We start from the raw sequence: 20,426 nt of genomic DNA, 5'->3' as shown, positions 1-20,426 counted from the left end.
TATAAATTTCACCTCTGATAGACAGCAGTTGAATTATAGGAATGTGACATTAGACTGAGCCAATATGATTTACTGAGGCAAATTAAGTTCTACGTCTTGAAACGGTGTGTAAAAATCATTGGCTATGGTTCAGTATGTCCCAAGAGAAACTTCAAAGTCTTTTCATATTATCTGTGTATTTATGAAATATTTTCTATGGTTTGCACATGTAGCTTACACCTAGAAGAAATCATATTTGCTATTCAGGTAAGTTTCTAGAGTCTTTGTTGTATCTTAGATGAGTGTACATGGTTGTATTCCTGCCAGCTATACTTTTTAACTCCATAAGGAGACCACAATATATAGCGAGAGCAGTTTAACTCTATTCAGGAAATATATGGTGTTTTTTATTTGGCTGAGGTGAAAGGAGGCTTTTTGAGAGTGTTAGGTTGCATTTTTGGGTCCACACATACCAATGTAGTCATTTTATTCAGTGTTACCAAGTTGGTATAATTCATAAGAATTTGATCAGTGCACCTGATTTTTGAACATTGTATTTGCTTTCTAGTATCATTGAAATAAAAGTAGTACTTATTGGCACCACCTATTGGTTAGACATTTAATATGTGACCTTTTTGCTGACTTTTGGAGTTTCCTAAATATTTTACCATGATCTCTCTTTAAAGTTTTTTTTTCAACTAATTTGTAGAAAACAGTACAAAGAATTTGTAATTTCCCAAAGGTTAACATTATACTACATTTCATTTGCATAATCTCCCTCCATTTATATATGTATGTGTGTGCATATAGTCATATAACGCAACATTAATGAATTTGATATGATCCTTAAGGATTATATCAGAGCCTTGATTGTATATGTTTGTGTGTGTATATATGTACATATACACTTATATATGCATGTATACACACATATGTACATATATACACATATACACATCTATACACATCATACATATATACATTTCTTTTCCTGAGCTGCCTGAGAACAAATTGCAGACATGATCCCTCTCTACCCCTGCTTACTTCAGAACATAGCAACAGAACCACAGTACAGTTATCTAAATCAGAATGTTAACATTGATATAATACTGTTATCTAATCTGCAAACCTTGTTCAGATTTTGACAATTTTCTCTACGTCTTTTATAACAAAAGAAAATCCTAGCCAGGTTTGGTGGCTCCCACCTGTAATCCCAGTACTTTGGGAGGCCGAGGTCCGTGGATCACTTGAGGTCAGGAGTTCGAGACCAGCCTGACCAACGTGGTGAAAACCCATCTCTACTAAAAATACAAAAATTAGCTGGGTGTGGTGGCACGTGCCTGTTAATTCCAGCTACTCAGGAGGCTGAGGCAGGAGAATCAATTGAATCTGGGAAGCAGAGGTTACAGTGAGCCAAGATTGTGCCACTGTACTCCAGCCTAGGTGACAGAGCGAGACTCCATCTTAAAAAAAAAAAAAAAAAAAGAAAAAGAAAATCCAGGCTATTTTGCATGCAGTTGTCATATCTCTTGTTTCCTTCGATCTAAATCATGCTAATGACAGCAAAGAAAAAATATAGTTCAAAATATGTTACTACATTACACCGTAAGATATTTTTTAAAGTTCATGCAGTATTTAAAAAAAATAAAACTAAATCCAAATGATGTGAATGGAAGTAGTGATTAGAGCTTGATTTCATTTTCTAAATGAGCTATGTATGGCTAATTTAGATATAATCACTAGCAATACTGTTTGCAAGATTTGCTGCATAGGAAAAATATGGAAGTATTTCAGTAAATTAAAATAATCAGATATTAAACTACAATCATAGATACTATTGTAGAGGAGGAAAAATATTTCCTCATGTATCCTAGGTTCATGGATTAAGCCCCAACAACAAAAGACAGAGTAACAAAAGAAAAGTATACAAACAAACATATTTAAGTTCTTTGTGACATGAGAGCCTTCATTAGGAAATGAACACCTGAAGAAACAGTTTAATCTTAGTTTTTTTATAGTAGGTCTGATGAAGAACAGGGAGTTGTAGAGAAATACTAGGGGGTGAAAAAGGTATCGTCTAATGGCAATAAACTGGGAGAAACTTAGGAAGGCCTGTTTATTCAGGTTCTTCTCTGCAACACTTTGTTTTCAGAGATAAGGATGTACTTTTCATCCAATATACGGAGGGCACTTCTTATGACCTGCTCAGGGGAGAATGGCAGGGAAGGTCCGAGAGACCTTCCTGCACATGGTGTCTCTCCAAATAGTCAGTATGCCAAGGAACCATGTTTTAGGGTAATGTGTCCTGAACCCCATCACTATGCTCTATACACATTTTTTAAATGGTTTGCAGCCCATGGATTCCTTTGTATTGGTATTGTGGAAATAAAATACAAATAGGTAATAATAGTTACAGTAAAAACAAACAAAGCCTGTTTAAAAAACCTAGACATAGTCCTCAGTATATGCTATTGAAATGTTGATACACTAAATCAGAATAAGAATGGAAACTTTAAAGTGAAAAATTCCCCTTAGTTAAAAAGGAAATGTTGAAATCCCTTCGAATGCTCTCATCACTCCTACCAAATGTGGAGAAGCCCCTCTCCAGCTTTCATTGCTGGTCAGCAGATTTCTTTTGTAGTTAAGACTCAATGAAAGTAAATAATTTCACATGTCTTTAATGCCTTTTCATTTGACATTCTGTGACATTATGTATTGCTTCAATCTTATGTTCTTTATAACTCTTAGCCATGAGCTAACCACTTCTCTAGAGAAAACATAAAAGCCTTTCCCAAAGCTTTGAAATTTAGAACTAGCAGATCTGCAAACCAGCAGTTATAATCACAAGATTATTTGTTCACGCTTATCATACCTTTTGCATATTAGAAGGTAGTCATCCCAATGGACAGAGTTACCCACTTCGAAGATCTCAGGAAGATGATCTTCAGACAGTGAGCCTATGGTCAGACCCTTTGGGTTATCCTCAGTGATGTCAAAATTATATTCTTTAAGACTTAACTTAGTTTAAAGAAGCAATCAGCAATAAGCATATTCACAAATTGAACAATACTGGCTAAAACTCAGAAACCAAGGTATGACTATTAAGAAATAAAAGTGTTTTCTTTCTTCCTGTCTTCCTTCCTCCGTTCTTTTTCTTTTTTTCTTTCTTCCTTCTTTCCTTCCTTCCTTCCTTCCTTCCTTTCTCTCTCTCTCTCTTTTTCTCTTTCTCTTTCTTTCTTTTTTCTTTGCCTCACGCTGTCGCCAGGCTGGAGTGCAGTGGCATGATCTCGGCTCACTGCAACCTCTGCCTCCCGGGTTCAAGTGATTCCCCTGCCTCAGCCTCCTGAATAGCTGGAACTACAGGTGGCACACCACCACGCTTGGCTTATTTATTTATTTATTTATTGTATTTTAGTAGAGATGTGTTTTTACCATGTTGGCCAGGATAGTCTCGATCTCCTGACCTCGTGATCTGCCCACCTTGCCCGCCTTGCCCGCCCGCCCTGCTTCCTTCCTTCCTTTCTTTCTCTTTCTCTTTCTCTTTTTCTTTCTTTTTTTCTTCCTTCTTTTTTTCTTTGTTTCTTTCTTTTTCTTTCTTTCTTTCTTTTTCTCTTTCTCTCTCTCTCTCTCTCTGTCTTTCTTTTTTCTTTGTCTCGCTGTGTCGCCAGGCTGGAGTGCAGTGGCGTGATCTCGGCTCACTGCAACCTCCGCCTCCCGGGTTCAAGTGATTTCCCTGCCTCAGCCTCCTGAATAGCTGGAACTACAGGCGGCGCGCCACCATGCTCGGCTTATTTATTTATTTATTCATTGTATTTTAGTAGAGATGGGGTTTTACCATGTTGGCCAGGATAGTCTCGATCTCCTGACCTCGTGATCTGCCCACCTTGCCCGCCTTCCTTCCTTCTTTTTCTTTCTTTTTCTCTTTTTCTTTCTTTCTTTCTTTCTTTCTTTTTCTCTTTCTCTCTCTCTCTCTTTCTTTTTTCTTTGTCTCGCTCTGTCGCCAGGCTGGAGTGCAGTGGCACGATCTCGGCTCACTACAACCTCCGCCTCCCGGGTTCAAGTGATTCCCCTGCCTCAGCCTCCTGAATAGCTGGAACTACAGGCGACACGCCACCATGCAAGGCTTATTTATTTATTTATTGTATTTTAGTAGAGATGGGGTTTTACCATGTTGGCCAGGATAGTCTCGATCTCCTGACCTCGTGATCTGCCCACCTTGCCCTCCCAAAGTCCTGGGATTACAGGCATGAGCCACTGTGCCCGGCCCTCTTTTTTCTTTCTTTTCATTTTAAATTGGTTTTGAAAGTATATCTAAAAGAGGAGATACATCCCAAATTTAAGCAGTGGCAACATTAATAGCGTAAGTATCTAGCTCTGCAAGATGACAATGTTAAAGGACAGCTGTAATTTGGGTACTTTGGTCCTACTGGGTAGAGGCTTTGAGTAACTAGGCTCCTTTCATCATGTAATTAACACATTGTTAAGCAGGCCTCTGGTAATGTTCACAGCTCCCATTTTCCCATCTGCATCTTGATTTCTCCATCTAACCTGGCTCATTTGTACACACCAGTCTCTTCCTAATATTCTGGCTTTTGCTCCATTGACTCATTTTCCGATAGTATTGTCTCACTTAATACCTCACACTTTCTAGAAATTTGACTTTCTTTCTTTCCTCTGCTTCAGAGACTTTCAGAGCCTGTCTCTGACCTCCCAGTGTAAATACCTCATTTTAATCAGCCAGGATTTTACTGCTTGGTGTAGCTAGGATGTGCCTCTGGAAAAGTTTTCACTGGCTTTGAGTTGAACTCCAGATAGGATATATAGCTTCTAATGTATTTACTGTGAAATTCAATTATCTTTTCTTATAGATATAACACATAACATTCTAATGCACAAAGCAAAGCTTAGATGATTAATTTTGTAAATCAAGCACATAGGAAGGAATAGATGTAAAATTTGTGCTCTGATAAGATTGAGGCCCTACGTATTTCAGAAATGAACAGGTTTTACTGAAGGTGATTTTTGAAAAAATCTACTAATATCATCTATAGGAAGTTTTGCTAATACCTCATAATGTTAGTAATTTTTTGTAGTACAAGTTTAGAAATTCCACCAATTGTGTTTTACTCTCAGCCCCCACCTCCCAAACATACAAAGTATGCAAGTACTGTCAAGAAATAGTGTTTTGAGAGTTTACTACAGAATGGCAGTGTGAAGAGCTGCACCATCCTCCTCCAATGGAACAACCATTATTGATGAAAATCGTATTTTCTTTTAGATTTTAAATTAAATTATTTTTCATATTTATTTATTTTTAAAAATGAAATGGGGACTCACTACATTGGCCAGGTTGGTCTTGAACTGGCCTTAAGCAATCCTCCCACCTTTGCCTCCCAAAGGATTATAGGTGTGAGCCACTGTGCCTGGTCACAAATTGTATTTTAAAACAGGACTAATGTCTAGAAATCTTCCTAAGTGTAGACAGCAAATAAAGAGTAACTGCCAACTCCTGGTAAGAATCAAGAGAGTTGGTGAAACTTATATCACATCTCATTTTCTCCTTCCTGCCTGCACCAGCTCAGCGTGATGAAAATTCCACTACATATACATGTAGCCAAGAAGATGGGGTTCCCTCTCCCATCAGCTTCCAGTCAAGGTATATGGTATCTCACCAGGAGAGGGTAGGCTACTAGCATATCACATTTCCCCTGGTCCCAGTTGTATAGCCTAAAAAAAGTAAATGTGTAACCCACTCCATATCGTCGCTTCCACACCTATGATGCATGGGATCCCTGTGAAAAAAACAACACCCACTAAAGATGAATTGTGATAAAATGATAACAATTAGCAATCAATGAGGCAGAGTAAGCAAATGCAACAAATGAGAATCATGATCTTTTGGAATTTTAGGTAATAAACTATCAGGAAAAGAGGTAGCAAAAGAGATTTCTAATGAAAAAGAAAACATCATAAAAAAATGGAACGAGATTTTTAAACCCATACATCAAAAGAATATTGAGTATATATATTTCAGCGTTACTCAAGGCACTGGTATACAGTTTTTGACAATGAAAAATCTTTGTTTTCTTTGTGTATAAATTCTAGTGGTTAAAGAGAAGTAAATAGAACTTCTAAAATTCTTTTAAAAAATGTTATTAAAATAAGAAATCAGTGGACTACTTAAATAGCAAACGAGCATAGTTGGAAAACGAATTAGTAAAATAACTTAAAATATTAGCCAGAATGCTACCCAAGGGGTAAATGCAATGGAATAACCTGAATAAACATTTAAGAGCAGTGAAGGATTGAATGAAAAGACCAGCATACATCTAGTAGGAATTCCAGAAGGAACAAATAAAGTACATGGGTAAGCTGCAATATTTGAAAAGGTTGAGAATTTGTAGAGCTTTTGCAGAGGATAAAATGTGCAGATAAAAGAAGAAAATGTTATTAAGTAGGATAAAGTTATATCTGGATAAATTAAATAACTTTTGCAGAGGATAAAATGCCCAGATAAAAGAAGTGAAAGTTATAAGCAGGATAAATAAAAGTCATATCTAGATAAATTATGGTGAAACTGCAGAACACCAAAGACAAAACCAGAAACCAGAGAGAAAATACTGATTACCTAAAAAGAAATAATAGTCTTAGCAGCAGTTACAGAGGTCAGAATATTATGGAATAATAAATATCTTAAAACTGCTGGGAGCAAATGGCCAACTTTGAATTCTTTACTTGCCAAACTGTTACAGTCATTGCTTGGTATCCGTGGGAAACTGGTTCCAGGACCTCTCAGGACACCAAAATTTGCAAATGCTGAAGTCCCTTACATAAAATAGCATATACTATTTACATATAACCTATGCACATCCCCTCATATACTTTAAATTATTTCTAGCTTATGTATAATACCTAATACAATGTAAATGGTATCTAAATGATTGTTATTACTGTATTGTTTTTTGTGGTTACTGTTGTTGTGTTGTTATTTTTTATGGATTTTATTTTTCCAAATATTTTTGACACCCAGCTGGTTGAATCCACAGATGCAGAGCCCCACAGAACAAAGGGCCTGCCATATTTAAAAGGGGGAATAAAATAAAATTTCAGATGAAGACTTGGAGATTTTACATTCACATTCACTGAAACAACTAGTCAGAGTTCATCATCAGGAGTAAAGAACTGAACCCAGGCTGGGTGTGGTGGCTCACACCTATAATCCCAGCAATATGGGAGGCTGAGGCGGGTGGATACCGAGGTCAGGAGATCGAGACCATACTGGCTAACACGGTGAAACCCCGTCTCTACTAAAAGTATAAAAAATTAGCTGGGTGTGGTGGCGCACGCCTGTAGTCCCAACTGCTAAGGAGGCTGAAGCAGGAGAATCACTTGAACCTGGGAGGTGGAGGTTGCAGTGAGCCAAGATCGCACCACTGCACTCCAGCCTGGGCGACAGAGTAAGACTCCATCTGAAAAAAAAGAACTGAACCCAGAAGGAAAGAAATGTAAGAAGCAAGTGTGTACGAAGAGAATAGTAAATGTCAGGGTAAATCTATTTAAGCACTGACTGCAAACAGCAACAATTTAAAAATATATCATCATCAGAGTTTAAAAGATCCAAGTTCCCAGAATTGTTCCAGAAGAGAATAGAGCTATTGATTAAATTTAGTATTTAAGTCAATTACTTATGTTACACATTTAAAGAATAGAAATAGTATGTATAATTTCCAGAACTATAGAGAGATAAATAAGCAAATAAGAAAACTTAATCCATTTAGAGGGTAGAAATGAAAAAGAAGGGGAAAAAAGAGAAGCAAACAAAAATCATGATATTTGAAAAACAAAATAAGATAGCAATATAACCTCTCCTCCTGACTAAATTACATGCTAAGTGTCTTCTAAAGGATATTTCAGAATTTGTCACTTGTTCAGAGCGTTGACTTACTAGTATCTGAGGACAGCACTGTAATCTCCATGTCATTAGGAATTTCACCGCCTTCGCATATGTCTAATTGTACTTATCGTCTATTTGTATTTCTCAGTTATGTCTTTGTCAAGTCTCCTATGTTAGAGGATTGTTCTCAATATACAGACATATTTGCCTTTGAAACCTTTATAGAACCTAATCACAATATTTGGATTTATCTGGTGGTAAGTGGGCACAACTATTAAAAGAAATATTTTATTTCTATATGACACTAAGGAGACTTTGGCCATTTTTTGATGGAAGCTAATTTGTTGATACTCATGGTAGGGAGGAATGAGAACAGAAACAATGATAGATATAATGATAGTAGTGGCAGTGGCAATTGTAGGAGTAGCAGCTGACACTTCCTTTGAGCTAAGCATTACCTAAAGTATTTTATGGAATTGGTGCCTTTATCTTTATTTTACAGATGTGGAAACCAAAGCACAGAGAGGTTAACATTGAGGCAGTCACTTGCAACCATATGATATGATTCTTAAACTGCACACTTAGTAACAACATGTATTTATCCAATATATTTATCACAGTTTTCCATTTTTGCATCGCTGTGCATTCGTAGCTACATGTTATGTGGTTTATTAGTGGCAAAATGGCTGATGTATTCTAAAATTTCAGCTGCTACTTATAAATCATGCTATGCTTTCCATTTTTAATGTAAAATTGCAGAATTTCATGAATTTAAAAGGAGCCAACTTATAGAATAAATGAGCTTCAATTCTCATGAAATTAGAACTTCCAAGTAATCAGCCACATTTGGCTTAAAAGATACCAAGCCTTTCTTTCGTGTACTACCACTCCGTAAGCTGAACTTAATCATGAATCATATGTTGTTTTATGGCAGACTCCAGATTAATGACTATGCCTTTTGTTTAAAATTAAATGTTAAGTATTTATCATTGGGCTTGAACATCTAGGCTGATGTGAAAGTTCACTTTAATGATTACGTTTCTTCCAAGAAAGGGAACATTTCTCCCACAGCAATTTCATTTTGGGCACTTATATTAAGGTCTAAGAAAAGTGACTTAAAATATTATTTACATAAACAAAATTAGGTTAAATTTTATGAAATTAAAATTTTATGAAATTAAATTGTAAATTAAATTTTATGAAATTTTAATTTTATGAAATTTTAATTTTATGAAATTCAGATTTAATCTAATTTTACAGGTTGTCATAAATTCCAATAAAAAATTTCCTAAGCTTTCCAATTCTTTCCGTGGTAATTTTTTCTTATTTTAATATTCCTATCATACCTATAATCCATTCTGTTTTATATTCTCTCTCTTTCTGTCTCTCTCTGTATAAGTTTCTTATTTTAATTGTTAGATTATCAGTTTCTTGGGTGTAGGAAAACTGTAATATACATCCTTAAATCCCACTTTCCACCCTCCTCTCAAGCCATAAGTTACTGCTGCTCAGAGTGTGCATTTTGAACTGTGGCAGGAATAAGGTAAAATGTACAGATAAAATTTAAGAAGTTGCCCCAACCCCAGAGATAGCAGGTGAGGCCAGGAAAGTGAAGTAGGATGATAAGAAAGAAAACGGAAAGAAAAATACCATTCTCCAAACATGCCCTGTGTCATAACCCTGAAAAGACAGGGCTAATCTCAGGTAATTGGAATGTGTAAATATTTGTCTTTTTTGCCCCAGCTTTAATAAGGTATAATTGACAATTAAAAATTGTACATATTTATGGCATACAATGTGATGTTTTGATATATGCATACACTGCTAAATGATTAAATCAAGCTAATTAGCATATGACCCTCATATTTTATAGCAGTGAGAACATTTTAAAATCCACTCTCTTAGCGATTTTTAAGTATGCAGTATATTATTATTAACCACCTCACTATGCTATACAATAGCTCTCTAGAACGTCTTCATCTTGTCCAACTGAAACTTCGTCTCCTGTGACCAAAATCTCCCGGTTTACTCTCCCTAACCCCCATATCCCCCACCCTCTCCAATCCCTGGTAACCATCATTCCACTCTCTGCTTCTATGAGTTCAACGTTTTTAGAAGGAATGTGTAAATATTTGCTACGTCTTTCCTTTATAGTGATGAGTAGTTTCTTAGTCTTCATTATGTTGTTTCTTACTGTTCTGGTGGCTCGTTTATCCAGCCTCTTGGTTGTGGTCATGACAATTAAGGACCACTGTAAAAATAGGATCTGGAGTTTCTTTGATTGGAAAATAAATGGAATTGCAATGGCTCTTTGTGGTCTGGTCCCTGTGGACTCACTCTCAGAATCATGTTTTTTCTTTGTGCACCCACTCTTTGATGTTTCTTAGTCATATGTTGTGGTTTCTTTGTGGAAAGATTTGATGATTTGGGCAAAGCCAGATACACTGTGGTCAAACACTGTGTCCTGTTAACCTTTGTCATTCTTGATGTCTGTGAATTCTTCATTCTGGAGAAATTAGGGAACCTCCAAATGGCAGTAACTGCCCTCCCCCTCAACCCCCATTATCATCACTTGGCTAGTCAAATGACATAATTACACTGAGGGCTTTAATCTATATTGCTCTAAACCTTCAGGTTGAAAACTACTGTATCTATCAAACTTTTAGTATGCATCCAACTCTGAAATGCCAGCTTTTCCTTTTCCCCACACTATTTTGTCTATTTGTCCTGTCATTTTCCCATTCCCTTCCCTTCTCCACTGACCGACTCCTCTCTGTCGACTGTCTCCTAAATGGGTCCTCTCTGTCCTTTTGCACTCTCTCCCCTCTGTGGCCCTTGCTCTCTAGAGAACACTGATGTATTTCTGTTTATTATTACTCCCCCTCCATCTGTCTTTTTCTAAAGCATTTTTTCTCCTTTTCCTATCTTCTTTAATTTTCTTCAGGATTCACCTCTCTGACCCAATGGTTTTCTTTTATCCTTGTCTTATCCTCTGTAAAGTACAGTATTCAGCTTATGTTTTTTTGTTTGTTTGCTTTTGTTTTTGTTTTTTGTTTTGTTTTTGTTTTTTTTAAAGTCGCTGCTGGTTAAATGAATGCTGGCTCCTATAGGGCAAAACAAGAATCTTGATCAGTTTTTCTCTCTCCAACTTCTATTGTGAATAGCATGATCTCTTTGTTTTTTCATTACTCTTGAGTCCTTTTCTCTTCTTCCTTTATGTATACCACATGATGTTGCTAGTGTCTCTGATCAGATCATTCATTGAGAAGCCCCAGTAAAATGATCTTCACTTGCAAAAATTACAGGATCTTAAGAATTTTGTTAAATTCGTCTTATTCTGTACTGGAAAGCATTGCTCATATAGTACGTCAGGATTTGAACAGTGTTTTCCCCAGCAGGAAGAACTGTTATCATGTACTAGATCTGGCAAACACTAGTATTCCACAAATACCAGATCCTGGTGATGCTAATGATGATGGTAATGATGTGGGTGAGTATTTTGAAGGCAAAAGGACAGAAGTGGGAGGAGAACAGAGACACCCATGATTAGGTGGGGGTAGAGAGTGTGAGTTAGGGAGAAATAGCTGCTGGGACAGATGGATCATAACACATGTTCGCTTGTCTTCATTCTTCCGCCTCCAGGTTTTAAAAGGTTCTACTAGTATCACATAAAGTGTCCAAAAGCTTCACTGATGATAGTTGTCTCCATCAAATCATCCAGATGGCTTATTCCCCCCTTCTTCATTTCCCGTGACCATGGAAAGACAGACACTCTCCATTTTATTGTCATCGGTCACCTAACTCAGAGTGAATGGGGTGGGGCTGGAGAGGGAGATAAGGGGTAGTTAGGTTAAACTAGGACGCAGATTTGAAGTTCTGAGGATGTGCCAGACTTAATGTAATTCTCGCGACAGCTCTTGGAGACATTCTGTTGGTACACAAACCGGAAAGTGTGAGGACACGATCATGTCGTCATGTCCCTGTCCTCCTTTTCTTTGTTTATTGCCCCTCATCTAGCTCCGATTTGGACCTCAGGAGAGGCTCCAGTTTCTCTCTGAGCCTAAAGCCTTTTCTTTTTTCTTTCCTTCTATTTTATTTTGGTTTACAAATTTTCCTGATATTTTAACCACTCTATTGAAAAACAAGCAAACCAACCAAAAAACGCTACTTTCATTGTTATTGTTTGTTTGCTCTATTATTGAAAGAGAGTAAAAGGGAAGACCTTCCTCTACACATGTGACAAATAAACTTTGCATTTTTTTCATCACAGCATGATGTCATTCTCACACCTTTGTTCTTATACAGCATTATCATACTGTAAGTCATTTTTGGGAGTTATGACTTGCACATGATCTGTGCATTATTGAGAGAAATGTGATAAGTAATAATGTAGATAGAGGTTCTAAATCTGACGATGTAGATTTATCATCTTCTTGACTGTACTAAGCAAATTCATCTTTTTTTTTTTTTTTATTATGGGGTCTCGCTCTGTCACCCAGGCTGCAGTGCAGCTGTGCGATCTCGGCTCACTGCAAGCTCCACCTCCCGGGCCCACGCCATTCTCCTACCTCAGCCTCCAGAGTAGCTGGGACTACAGGCACCTGCCACCACGCTGGGCTAATTTTTTTGGTAGAGGTGGGGTTTCACCTTGTTAGCCAGGATGGTCTTGATCTCCTGACCTCATGATCCGCCTGCCTCGACCTCCCAAAGTGCTGATATTACAAGTGTGAGCCACCGCACCCGGCCAGCAAATTCATCTTTAAATTGACTTCAGGTTAATGATGACTGAATGTTTTTAAAAATAAGTCACCTTTGACTGGTTTCATTTTCTATCACTAATATAGTAAATATAGATGGGAGATATTTTTGTCCTTCTTATTTTAAAGCATAGAGGCCAGGCGCGGTGGCTCACACCTATAATCCCAGCAGTTTGGGAGGCCGAGGAGGGCAGATCACAAGGTCAAGAGCTCGAGACCATCCTGGCCAACTTGGTGAAACCCCATCTCTACGAAAAACACAAAAATTAGCTGGGTGTGATGGCGGACGCCTGTAGTCCCAGCTACTCAGGAGGCTGAGGCAGGAGAATTGCTTGAACCCGGGAGGCGGAGGTTGCAGTGAGCCAAGATCGCGCCACTGTACTCCAGCCTGGGAACAGAGCGTGACTCCGTCTCAAAAAAAAAAAAAAAAAAAAAAAAAACATGGGGGAAAGGGTGGGAGGTGGGTGAGGGATAAAAGACTACAAATTGGGTTCAGGGTTTACTACTCAGGTGATGGGTGCACCAAAATCTCACAAATCACCACTAGAGAACTTACTCATGTAACCAAATACCACCTATTCCACAATAACCCATGGAAATAAAAAAATTAAAAATATAATAATTTGGCTATCTTAAAAATTAAAACATAAGAAGATAAACAAAGAAGGAATGAAAAAGCTGAAAGAGAAGTGCTATCTTTGGAGTATGCATACAGACATATTCACAATGATATGACATTAAAGTTTTCTGTACTTCTTGCCTGGAAATTGAGAAAATAATATATGATAAAAAGTGTTTTGCATCTTCTGTATATCCAGCTAAGGTAATGTCCTTATAATTGGGGTAAAAATAATAATTTTTCCTACTTTACTGACTAAATTCTCTTTTCTTTGTCAAGGTGTCCTGTATTCTGCTAAATTCTCCTCACTAGAAAATCATGTCATCATGAGTTTCTACTGTATATATTATTAATATAATCCTGGTTTCATTATAATCGGCTTTGTTACTTATGTTTCAAGAAAATCTCTATCAATATCCTTTAAATCCTTAAATTAATATGTCTTCAGATTTGTGTTCATGCTTTTGATATTTGATAAGCAACTATTCATAGGCCTTTTGTTTTGTTTTGTTTTGTTTTAAACCTCCCATTTTGATGTCAGTATTTTTTAGGGCAAGGTGACCTTCATCTACTTCTGGAATAAGTGTTGGCGCAGGAACGTGCTCCACCAGACTAGGGTTGGAGGAGAGATTTGGGGGTTGGAAGCCAGGCTGCCTCTTAGAGTTCTGCTCATTTTCTCCACTTGCTATGAACCTCCTTATGAATGGGAAACTCAGATGTTGAAGTTGGAAAAGTGTTATTCAGATATGATTCATATAGATTCTGTCGATTTCGTCGGAATATTAACCCTTAGTTTAAAACCATGATATTCTAAATTTGGGCTTGTTGCAACACATCAGTTTCTCTTTATTCTATTTCTATTCTGTTTTTAACTCGGGTATCTCTCATCTGTTTTAGGTTTAGCAGTTTCCTTACAGCTATTGCACGGAGACATTGAACAAATCAGAAGGGAATATTCATCAGTATTTTCTCATGGAGTATCCATAACAAGGAAGCTGGGATTTTCAAATATTATTATGCCTGGTAGGTGACTTGGGACGTACCGATATGATGAAATATGGGTATACTATCTGTTTTTGATGTTTGAGAAATTTTTCAAATTGCCAGCTTTGAAGCATTCACATGGGCCATGCTGAAGAATGAAATGAGGTATGTGACTGTAAGTAAGCACATTTTTTTCTAAAATATCCTTTTCAGTTTAATTTTAAAATATTTCCTTTTGTATAAACTTTCTTGTCAGTGATTTGAAGCTCAAAAATGTCTTTACATTCTGATTATTCTAAAGTTGTTAACTTGTGGGGGCCATGGCTACATTTCATTATGACCAGGAGAAGGAGGAAAACTGAGTTACTGTCCAGAAAATATTGTACTCCTTGATGGAAAATGTTGGTGAAGATGCTTAGAGGATATCCTAAGTTTTGATAAAAACGTACTGAACACTAGTTAGCCATATGTAAATAAGCAGCCATATGCAAATATTATATGTACTTCTATACCTTTTCTAGATCTATTTGTGTGTATGATTTAGATCTATATTAGTGCCCCCAAAATTCCCCAAAAGTAGAAAAGATGTGGGTTAAGCAGTTTTACAGTGTGACATGAATGCCAGATTCATTGAAGCTGATGCATTTGGGAGTGGGTCAGTCGTAATCTCTCCACGAAAATAAATGTTTAAAAGCACACCCCTTTATGTGCTTATGGAAATTTAGGGTTTTCTGAGTGTGTTCATCTACAACTTATGAATTGGATAAGAATAGTACGTTTGCTGATGAGGAAGGATGTGTGTTTAGCAAAAATTGATTTAGTCAGTCAGCAGGCATTGATTGAGCATCAATCAAAACTTTGTGCCAGGAGCCAAAAGTTAAAAAGATGAGTTCATTCATTCTACAAATAAATATTTAGCACTTTCTATGTACAAAGGCATTCTTCCAAATACTGGGGCTATAAAACTGAACACAACAGAAGAAACCCATAGGACTTACTTTGTAATAAGGAAAATTATAATAAATATGTAAGTAAAACATGTATGTTCAAAGATGATGAATGCTCAGGTGAAAACCAGTGTAGGTAAAGGGCTAGGGAATGTCTTAGAGGGTAGTGGGTGGAGAGATGGAGATTTGTGGTAGGTAAGAAATTTAGGTGAGAAGGCAGTAGAGTAGAGACCTAAAAGACATGAGGAAGCCGTGCAGATAAGAGGATTCCAGGCATAGCAACAATAAGGGCAGTGGTCCTGCAGCCATAGAATCGTGGCTTGTTTGAGGAACTGCAAGAAGGCTAACTTGGTCAAAATACAGTACTGGGGATGGGAATGGAGATTCGAAGAGGGAAGTCATGTGGACCTTGTAGGTCACACTCAGCACTTTGGGTCTTATTCAGAATGAGAAAGGAAACAGCTAGAGGGTTTGGAACAGAGGTGTGACACTGCTTTACATTGCCACAGGATCACTGTGGTTGCTGTATAGAGATTATACCTGGAGGGAATATGGGAGGGCAGCAGAGAAACAGGGAGACCGGTTTGGAGGCTGTTTGAACTAATCCAGGTAAGTGGTGATCATGGTGTTGAGCAAGGTGTTAGCAGTGGAGATGGCGAGAGTAAGACCTGTTTATACTTTGAGGGGGATTACAGTCCACAGGCAGAGACACGCTGTAACCCGAAAGGAGTTGGAGAATGCAGCATGGAGAGCACAGAGGAGTTGTAGAATCTTATTGAAGGAGTCTCGTTAAAATTTCCTGAGGAGGTAACACCTGAGCAGGGTCTTCAATGCTAATGATTCTAGGCCCACATCCCCCGAGTCTTTGTTCTCCACTGCACTAATAGCAAGTACCTGCTTTAATAGTGAAAGACTGTGTAGTCATAGCCAACATGGCTGTACCTCTGATGTTTCTTTTGTTTCTTTGTTTGTTTGTGTTTTCTTTTTTAGAGATGGGGTCTCACTCTGTTGTCCAGGTTGGTGTGCAGTGGCACAGTCATTGCTCACTGCAGTCTCAAACTCCTGGGCTCAAGTGATCCTCCCACCTCAGCCTCCTGAGTAGCTAGGACTACAAGCATATACCACCACACCTGGCTAATTAAAAAAAAAAAAAAAAAATTGTGGCCGGGCGCGGTGGCTCATGCCTGTAATCCCAGCACTTTGGGAGGCCGAGGTGGGCGGATCACGAGGTCAGAAGATCGAGACCATCCTGGCTAACATGGTGAAACCCCATCTCTACTAAAAATACAAAAAATTAGCCGGGCGTGGTGGCGGGCGCCTGTAGTCCCAGCTACTCGGGAGGCTGAGGCAGGAGAATGGCGTGAACCCGGGAGGTGGAGCTTGCAGTGAGCGGAGATCGCGCCACTGCACTCCAGCCTGGGCGACAGAGCGAGACTCTGTCTCAAAAAAAAAAAAAAAAAAATTGTAAAGATGGGATCTCCCTATGTTGCCCAGGCTGGTCTCTAATCCCTGGGCTCAAGTTATCCTTCTGCTTTGGCCTCCCAAAATGCTTGGATGATAGGCTTGAGCCACAGTGCCTGGCCCACCTCCAATGTTAAAAGGAGATTTCTGGCCTGACGCAGTGGCTCATGCCTGTAATCCCAGCACTGAGGCTGAGGCGGGTAGATCACCTGAGGTCAGGAGTTCAAGACCAGCCTGGACAACATGGTGAAACCCCGTCTCTACTAAAAATACAAAAAATTAGCCGGGCATGGTGGCATGTGACTGTAATTCCAGCTACTTAGGAGGCTGAGGCAAGAGAATCGCTTGAACCCGGGAGGCGGAGGTTGCAGTGAGCCAAGATCCTGTCACTACACTCCAGCCTGGGCAACAAGAACGAAACTCCATCTAAAAAAAAAAAAAAGGAAATTTCTATGCTCTAAAAAATTTTAATTTCTAAAATTCTGTGAAAGTCATAATTTTGTGAGAGAATAGCCTTTTAAAAACTTTTGAAGTTTAAAAGCAAAAAAAAAAGAAAAAGTCTAATTGTTATTTAGTAATGAACCACTAGAGTTCTAGAAATTTCACACTGTCCCTAGGAACACAGGGCTATGACCAGCTGGGGTTATCTTCAACAAGCCTTGGTTCTGTCTATACCTATCTATTTCTTTGTGTGTGTCTGGACCTCTTATTTTCTTTCTCTTTTCCTTTCTGTCTTGATCTTAATCTTTCTTTTTCTTCTTATCTTTCCTCCCTCCTCCATCTTCTTTCCTTCTCCTCCTCCTCTTCCTCCCCCTCTTCTGCTTCCTCCCTCCTCAGAATAGGACTAAGCTACACAGGTTATTGTGGCTTACATTTAAAATTTTTTTGACATATCCTCTTGTTTTTACAAATCAAGAAATGAGTTTTTTTAAGTCATGAATTTTATTATAAAAGGACCTCACTTGTGTTTGATCTTCCATAGAAACAAAGAGCTTCTGCCCTTTTGTCTACAGATAGAAGATGACGAATAGCATACTAAGTAGTAGTATTTCTGGGTGCTCCATACCCCACCCTCCACAACCAAGAAAAGGGAAAAACAATAGACCAAATAAAATACTCTTAAATTGTTGACAGTATTTGTTTTAAATGAGGTCTTCTAAACCACTGTTTAAATCCCATGTGTAAGTGCAAGCAAAGGAAGTTGTATCTGACAAGGCACCTGGCATAGCTATGAGACCCAATAATGAGATTGCTATGAATAAAGACCTAAAATGACCAGTATCGCCCATTGCACCATTTTGTAATTGCCCGACTGAAATTCCTTCATGCAAGGAAGGCTGAGAGAACATCCTGTAAGTTTTCCTCAGATGACCTGACCTAGCTTAGGGACCCAGTCAGCCTGAGCATCTCATGGTACTGTTGTCGAAAATGACTGTTTATAGAACTGTTTACTTGGTGGCATGCTATTCTGTGGCCCTTGCAACTGTCCATTATTTCCTTCAGTTGCTATAAATAACTGGTATTTCCTCTTCAACAACAAAAAAAATTCATCCCACTGGGAAGCAAATTGATGGGCAAATCTAATATATTAAAAAAAAAAACATTTTAGAGCAGAATGCAGCCAGCTGCTGGAAGAATTCCTCAGCTTGGTCTCTGGGCAGTATCATGGAGAAATTGAAAAATATAAAGCAAGATGACACTTCACTGGCTGATTAATTGTCTGGGATCTGCTGTGCTCACGCAGCTTTTGTGTGGCTTTAATGATGGGCATGAACTTCTGTGGAATAAGGCTCGTTTCTGTCCCTTTCCGGTACCACCTTGTAATGCGAAGTCTACACTGTCCAGGAAAATTGTTCTTTCAGACATGTGTCTGTAGTTCAGGGGAGTACAAAAGAGGTTTTTTTAAAAGCACTTCCTTCTCTTTTTTTTTTCCCTTTCTTCCTCTGGCTTTTTAATCTTCCATAATAGAAAAGGGAGAGATGTGTGTATTTCCTTAAACAACTGAAAGCAACTTTAAAACTCAGTGGAATTTTTTACACTAGGAAACATGCAATCATTGTTTTGTTTTCCTTTGTTACTTTCAGACTTGTCAATTCATTCTCACCAGTGGCTCTAATGAAAACTTGAGCTGAATTCTTCCATGAGAAAGTGTGTGTGAACAATATTTCTGATCCCAATGTTACACTGACCGTCTGCAAGCATAATTTTTTTTTCATTGTCTAGATGTGTCCTTCAGAGTTAATTTGCATCTTTAGCATTCTGATAGGGTCAAAACAGGTGAGGCACATGATTATACCAACAGGACCCAGTTTATGCACACAGTCACCGCCTCTCTGCAGAATGAATTATCTGTGATCCTGACAAGGACAAGAACATACACAAAACTCTTTTCGATCACAGAATGTAATCAATGCCAGACTCTTTTTGAAATGGGAAAAACGTAGGCGCAGAAATTCTCCACTTGTCTCACTATTGTACAGACAGGTCTCCTGGTGTGAGGAGGTACCTGTCCATATGCTTCTGAGTCATCATGAAGTCCTCTGGACTCTTCCTTGGTTAAGGGTCTGTCACACAGCACTTTATTTCTTAGAGTGTCAGACTTCCAACTGAGAAAAAACATTTTCTGTGAAGCTCTGTCACTGCCACCTCCAAGCCAAATAACTGATTGAAGGCGTTCCACGGTCTGGGCTATGAGAGGGAGGGAGAGCAGCAAATTATTTTAATCAGTGCTTTCCAGTAGGAACATCATTTGAGCGACAAAGCTAATTTTAAATGTTTTGGTAGCCACTTTAAAAAAGTGAGAATAAAAGAGATGAAATTAGTTTTAACCATATATGTTACTTAACTTAAAACATCCAAAATATTAGCGTTTTAATAGGAGATCCATATGAAAAACTACTGATGAGTTATTTTACACTCTGTTTTCAACCTCAGTCTTTGAAAGCTGGCAAGTATCGTACATGTACAGCATGTCTCTTTTCAGCGAGTCACATTTTAAGGGCTCCATTGCCACATGTGGCAGTGGTCACCCTGTTGGACAGCCCAACTCTAAACATCTTAACAGACCCTAGGCAAAGCAGGCCTGGCCTATTGCTAAGCATCAGGGAGATCCAAGTTTCCATCCATCAGACATTCTGGAGCAAAGCTGGCTGATGTATCAGGAATGGCATGGAAGATCTGACTGTCTTCCCTGCTCCCCAAATGTCCATTTTTTACTCTGTGATTCTTTCCAGGCAAAATTTTCTTTGCCTCCATCATGATTTCACTATTTAAGCTTTCATGCCTGTACCCTATTTCTTTAGAGACTTGTTCCCACATATCCATTGGTTAAACTGTCATTCTTTGTTAGGGAACCCATCATTTATACATTTCAGTGCATTCACTTTTAGTAGGTCTTTGAAGCTCTTAGCCCTAAAACGTTTTTTTTTTTTTCTTTTTTCTTTTTTTTTAAACAGGGTCTCCATCTGTTACTCAGGCTGGAGTGTAGTAGTACAATCATGGCTCACTACAGTCTCAGCCTTCTGGGCTCAAGTGATTCTCCTGCCTTAGCCTCTTGAATAACTGGGACCACAGCAGGTGTGTCACCACACCCAGCTAATTTTTTATTATTTGGAGAAATCAGATCTCCCTATGTTGCCCAGGCTGGTCTTGAACACTCCTGGGCTCAAGTGATTCTCCTGCCTCAGCTTCCCAAAGTGCTGCAATTACAGGCATGGGCCACCATGCCCATCCCCTAAAAAGATTTAAGTGAAAACACTGGAGTGATAGGGTTGAGATTTGGGGAC

At 38.4% G+C, this 20,426-nt stretch overlaps 1 protein-coding gene across 14 annotated transcripts in view; it reads left to right on the top strand.

Moving 5' to 3' along the window:
* The window catches only part of DOCK4 (dedicator of cytokinesis 4), a 480,290-nt gene that overhangs the window by 276,349 nt on the left and 183,515 nt on the right, over positions 1-20,426 (top strand). For all 14 annotated transcript variants that reach the window (XM_047421081.1, NM_014705.4, XM_006716189.3 and 11 more), the window contains exon 13: positions 14,147-14,272. In XM_047421081.1, the coding sequence (XP_047277037.1) occupies positions 14,147-14,272 (126 nt within the window). The remainder of the gene's footprint in view (positions 1-14,146; positions 14,273-20,426) is intronic.

This window comes from Homo sapiens, chromosome 7 (genome assembly GCF_000001405.40).
Source record: "Homo sapiens chromosome 7, GRCh38.p14 Primary Assembly".
Taxonomy (NCBI): Eukaryota; Metazoa; Chordata; class Mammalia; order Primates; family Hominidae; genus Homo; species Homo sapiens.
Note: the sequence above shows the minus strand (reverse complement) of the source record. Positions and strands in the feature narration are given on the sequence as shown.